The sequence below is a fragment of the Homo sapiens genome, chromosome 8 (genome assembly GCF_000001405.40).
Source record: "Homo sapiens chromosome 8, GRCh38.p14 Primary Assembly".
In the NCBI taxonomy this organism is placed as follows: Eukaryota; Metazoa; Chordata; class Mammalia; order Primates; family Hominidae; genus Homo; species Homo sapiens.
This window is the reverse complement of record NC_000008.11, coordinates 87870380-87876219: the sequence shown is the minus strand read 5'-3', so window position 1 is coordinate 87876219 and position 5840 is coordinate 87870380. Positions and strand designations below refer to the sequence as shown.

Below are 5840 nucleotides of genomic sequence, written 5' to 3'. Positions count from 1 at the left end.
TGGGATGGCATTTTCCTCTGTTGTCTTCTTCCAAAAACATAAAATCCCAGTGTTAATATGGGAAAAACATCAGACAACTCTCTATTGAGAGACATCTATAAGATATGTGACCAATATGCCTCAATGCTGTCATGTATATAAAAAGTAAGGAAAATCTAAGAAAAGGTCATGGCCAAGAGAAGCACAAGGGAACATAATTAATATTATATCATGGATGGGATCCTTGAACAGGAACAGGCCACTGGATAAAAACTAAGGAAATATGAATAAAATATGGACTTCAGTTAATAAAGTATCAATATTGGTTTATTAGTGCAATGTATTTATCATTCTAGCGTAAAATGTTAATAATATGGAAACTGGGTGCAGAGTATGTGGGAAGGCTCTATACTATCTTTGTAATTTCCCTGTAAATCTAAGACTGTTCAAGAATTTTTAAAGGGGTTAGTTAAAACATTAAATTGCCTAGACACTCACATTCAAAGGTAAAAATTATTATACTGGATAAAAACTTACCAGCAATGTATTGTTTATATGAACCCATTTACATAATAGAACAAATTTAAGTTGAAAGTAAAAGGTGAGAAAAGGTACAGCAAACACTATCAACCAGAAATCTTGGTTGCATATATAAATATTAGACAAGAAGGGTTTAAGGATAAGGATACTTTAATATCAGAGAACACAGATTTAAAAAAATTAAAGTTGGGCCAGGCGCGGTGGCTCAAGCCTGTAATCCCAGCACTTTGGGAGGCTGAGGCGGGTGTATCACCAGATCAGGAGATCGAGACCATTCTGGCTAAGATGGTGAAACCCCATCTCTACCAAAAATACAAAAAAATTAGCCGGGCATGGTGGCGGAGCCTGTAGTCCCAGCTACTTGGGAGGCTGAGGCAGGAGAATGGCCTGAACCCGGGAGGTGGAGCTTGCAGCGAGCTGAGATAGAGCCATTGCACTCCAGCCTGGGTGACGAGCGAGACTCCGTCTCAAAAAATAAAATAAAGTAAAATAAAATAAAATAAAATAAAATAAAATAAATAAAAGTTGGTCGGGCGCAGTGGCTCATGCCTGTAATCCCAGCACTTTGGGAGGCCAAGGCAGGTGGATCACAAGGTCAGGATATCAAGACCATCCTGGCTAACATGGTGAAACTCCATCCCTACTAAAAATACAAAAAATTAGCCAGGCATGGTGGCAGGCGCCTGTAGTCTCAGCTACTCAGGAGGCTGAGGCAGGAGAATGGCGTGAACCCGGGAGGCGGAGCTTGCAGTGAATCGAGATCACGCCACTGCAGTCCAGCCTGGGCGACAGAGCGCGACTCCATCTCACAAAAATAAAATAAAGTCAATCAATAAATAAAAGTTAAAAAGGAATATTTTATAATAATAATGGCAATCTTTCAACAGGAAGACAAAAACAATTATAAATTATTTATATCTAAAATGTAAACTGACCAACAAGAATTGGCAAGGATATATATACACTTTTGACAAGAGTGTAATTGGTTTGTCAATATCTACTTAAGCCATATTTTGACAAGAGTGTAATTGGTTTGTCAATATCTACTTAAGCTATATATGTCTACCTAATAACCCTCCACTTTCAAATTTTTTTTTTTTGAGACGGTGTCTCCCTTTGTCGCCCAGGCTGAAGTGCAGTGGGGCTATCTCGGCTCACTGCAACCTTCGCCTCCTGCGTTCAAGCGATTCTTCTGCTTTAGCCTCCCGAGTAGCTGGGACTACAGGCGCGCGCCACCATGCCCGGCTCATTTTTGTATTTTTAGTAGAGACAGGGTTTCACCATATTGGCCAGGCTGGTCTCGAACTCCTGACCTCGTAATACGCCCACCTCGGCCTCCCAAAGTGCTGGGCCAATTTCACTTCTTAGTAAATAAGAGAAATGTATGCATACAGCTATTATGACGTGTGTAAGAGGGGTCGGAAAAGAATCTCTAAACAGGAATAGAAATGAATAAAAGCAGCTGTCTGAGTAGGGGAAAACTCGAGAGAAGCAGCGGAACTCTTGTTTCAGATCACGCGATTCTAACGAGAGTTATGTCAGGGCACCTCAGAGCATTCGGGATTTGGGCCAAGGCGACGAAGAATCTCGTCCGGGTCGACCTCATACGCACAGGCGCAGGCGCAGCGGGAAGTTCTTCCGTGCCAAGTCGTGCTTGTAAAGAAGCGGTACTTCCTCTTACTCCCGGGACAGAACTTCCCCTCAGGAGGGAGAACATCCGCCGAACGAAATGGAGAGCAAAAGACCGCGACTGCTCGAGGAAGCAGACAAGCAGAAAAAGACAGTCAGAGTGGGACTCAATGCACCTTCCATGCTACGAAAGAACCAGCTAGGTTTCCTCAGATTCGCCAACTATTGCCGTATAGCTCGCGAGCTGCGTGTAAGCTGCATGCAGAGGAAAAAGGTCCAGATTCATAGCTGGGATCCCTCCTCTTTGGCAAGCGACCGATTTAACCGCATACTGGCGAATACCAACACTGACCAGCTCTTCACAGTGAACCAAGTCGAAGCTGGAGGCTCCAAGTACGGCATCATCACCATGCGAGGCCTGACGACCCCTGAGCTCCGGGTATACCCGCACAAAACCCTCTACGTCCCTAATCGGAAGGTGAATTCTATGTGCTGGGCCTCACTGAATCACTTGGATTCCCACCTTCTGCTGTGCTTCGTGGGACTTGCAGATACTCCAAGCTGTGCCGTGCTGCTCCCAGCGTCGCTGTTCATAGGTAGCTTCCCAGGAATGCGTCGGCCTGGCATGCTTTGCAGTTTCCAGATCCCTGATGCCTGGTCCTGTGCCTGGTCCCTGAGCATCCACGCGTATCACTCTTTCAGTACAGGCTTGTCTCAGCAGGTCCTGTTGACCAACGTGGTGACGGGACACCAGCAGTCATTTGGGACTAGCAGTGATGTCTTGGCCCAGCAGTTTGCAATCATGACTCCTTTGCTGTTTAATGGCTGTCGCTCTGGGGAGATCTTTGGCATTGATCTGCGCTGTGGAAATCAAGGCAGCGGGTGGAAGGCCATTTGCCTGTCCCATGATTCAGCAGTGACTTCTCTGCAAATCCTCCAAGATGGCCAATTCCTGGTGTCATCAGACATGACTGGAACTATCAAGCTGTGGGACTTGAGGGCCACTAAATGTGTAACACAGTACGAAGGTCATGTGAATAACTCCGCCTACCTACCCGTGCATGTGAACGAAGAAGAAGGAGTCGTGGCGGCCGTGGGCCAGGACTGCTACACGAGAATCTGGAGCCTCCGTCATGGCCACCTGCTCACAACCATACCCTCCCCATACCCCGCCTCGGAGAACGACATTCCCAGTGTGGCCTTCTCTTCTCGCCTCGGGGGCTTCCGAGGAGCACCAGGGCTGCTCATGGCTGTCCGGGAGGACCTTTATTGTTTCTCCTACGGTTAATTCTTCAGGATGCAGCCCGGAGGAACGTGGATTTGACTTAAAGAAGTAAAGAGCATCGTATTACCGTTTCTATGAGCGCATTTTAAGAGATGTTCGGTGTTTGTAGATCCCATCCATCCGGCTGCTAGGGGTAAGGTGCTGTTTTATGTGAAGATAGTTCTGTAAAGTTGTTTCAGTTAAACTGGGCTGAGAGAGCTTGAAAGTCCTTTTCATAAAAGATAACTATTTCCTTTTCTTGTTGAATACCTTAGAATAGTTATCCCCCCCTTTTTTTTTTTTTTTAACAAAAAAACACTTTTCTAAGGACTGAAGATTGGCAAAAACTAAAATAAATTAAAACTGCTTACACCAGAAGCCTTTTAGAGAAGCATGAGACTGTTTGACTAGTCCTACCTGGGTTCCGGAAATACATGCATCATCTGTACTTGAAGAGGCCAGTGGGAGAGGAGAGGAGGGGGAGGTCATTTATCTGAGTCTCTCCAGAAGTTTTTAAGGCTACATTTTGGAATCATTAAACTTGGCCTTCTCAAACTCAATAGCAGATCTCTGAGATTCTCCTTTTATTATTTTCCATAGGCAATGGGAGGAAAGGTGGATCTTTTTAAATAATAGAAGTTTTAAACAGTCCTTAACGTGCTTTTGTTGAGGCATCTTCCAGAATGTAAGGTACAGCAGCTCCGGTTTCTATTATTGTGACTTGAATGTCAGGATTCAAGGGCTCAGTGTCAAAGATAATTGGCTTTGACTTTTTGTAATCTAGGAGCAGCAGTTTGTGAGATGTTTATTCAAAGTGTTAGCCTGTTTTTCTACCAACAATAAGCTAGAAAAGACAAAAAAAACAAAAAACAAAAAAACGTGTAATAAAGTTAGTGGCTACTTCTTAATAGCCAAAGCCTGGAAATGATCTCACTTTACAATATGCTAAAATTGATAAATAATTTGTGCTGTAGTCATACAATTGGATAAAGCATAATATAAAATAAGGCACAATTGCTATATGAAACTGTGGATTAATCTCAACATGTTGATTGTAAATGTAGGTAGAAATGAGTACAAACTGATTCAGTTCTAAAGTTCCAAAGCACTAAAAACTTATCTATGGTGATTACAGTTTGAATAGTAGGTATCTCTGTGGAAGGAAGAAAGGATATTGTTTGTTTTTTTCCCTTTTATTTTTAGGATATTGTTTGGAAAGTAACACGGGGAAACTTTAGAAATGCTGTTTTCTTTTTCTTGATCCTTGATACATACATATTTTGTATGTCTATACACTTCACACTTTATATAATACCTCAAAAATAAAAATATGAAAACAGTACACTGTTGTAGGTTGGTCAGGAAAGGGAATGATTGTGGCTTGGACCTGACTATGAGAAGTAGAAATAATCAGAAAAATCAGAAATGATTGCATTGGAAGATCATTCGAAGGTAGTATTAGTAAGATTTGCTGATGAGAGTAATCTAGAAAGTGAAAGACAGCATAAAGATTGCAGCTTTTTTGTTAACTTTAGGACTGGTGGATGGTTGGTGTCATTTACTAAAATGGGGAGGATTTGAGGTGAAAAAATTTTAGGTGAAGAGAATAATGCTGAGTTTTAGGCAACTATTAAAATGTCCATTCTGTAGATTAGAGGTGATGTCAGGACATAAATGAGGTTAATGTAATATTACATATTGATAGAGGAATAGGTCAATAGAGAAGATACAAAAGAGTGGTTAGGTGCATAGATTTTTGAAATCAGTTAAATTAGTTTTTGATACTTGATGTGTGACAGGGGAAACTGTGTAAGCTGTACTTGTTATTTCTTTGTAAAATGTCTTAGATAATAAAACTAAATCATAAAGTAGATATTGGTTTAAAGGATGTATACATTGTCCCTTTTACATTGTAAGCATTCAATAAGAACTAGCTGCGGATGTAATTTTTTTTAAAAAAGTCCAAAAGCAGCTATGGGCAGTTGACAAAAGAAAATGTAATGACTACGTAACTTGCGAATCTGTTTACCCTCACTTGCAAATAAAATAAGTGCAAATAAAGCAATGATTATGTATTGTTTTCATTCATTATTCTAGTACAATTTTTGTTTATAGCAGCTTTATTTATAAATGCCAAAAACCAGAAACAAACAAGATGTTCCTCAAAAAGTGATGGATAAACAAACTAGTATACATACTTATATGATGGAATATTACTTAGTAATAAAAATAAAATAGCTATTAAGCTGCAAAAAGACATGGAGGAATCATGAGTACTTATGAAGAAGCCAATCTCAAAATGCTATATATATATATGTATAATTCCAACTATATGGCAGTCTGGAAAAGACAAAACCATAGAGATGGTTAAAAATATTAGTGGTTTCCCAGATTTCAGCAGGAAGGGAAAGAGGTCAATAGGTGCAGT

General features: G+C 41.0%; 1 protein-coding gene across 1 annotated transcript; it reads left to right on the top strand.

Moving 5' to 3' along the window:
* The first annotated feature begins 2204 nt into the window (after positions 1-2204).
* DCAF4L2 (DDB1 and CUL4 associated factor 4 like 2) lies at positions 2205-5473 on the top strand. The gene has a single exon (NM_152418.4). The coding sequence runs from the start codon at positions 2249-2251 to the stop codon at positions 3434-3436; it is 1188 nt and encodes a 395-aa protein (NP_689631.1). The 5' UTR covers positions 2205-2248; the 3' UTR covers positions 3437-5473.
* Positions 5474-5840: the final 367 nt, after the last annotated feature.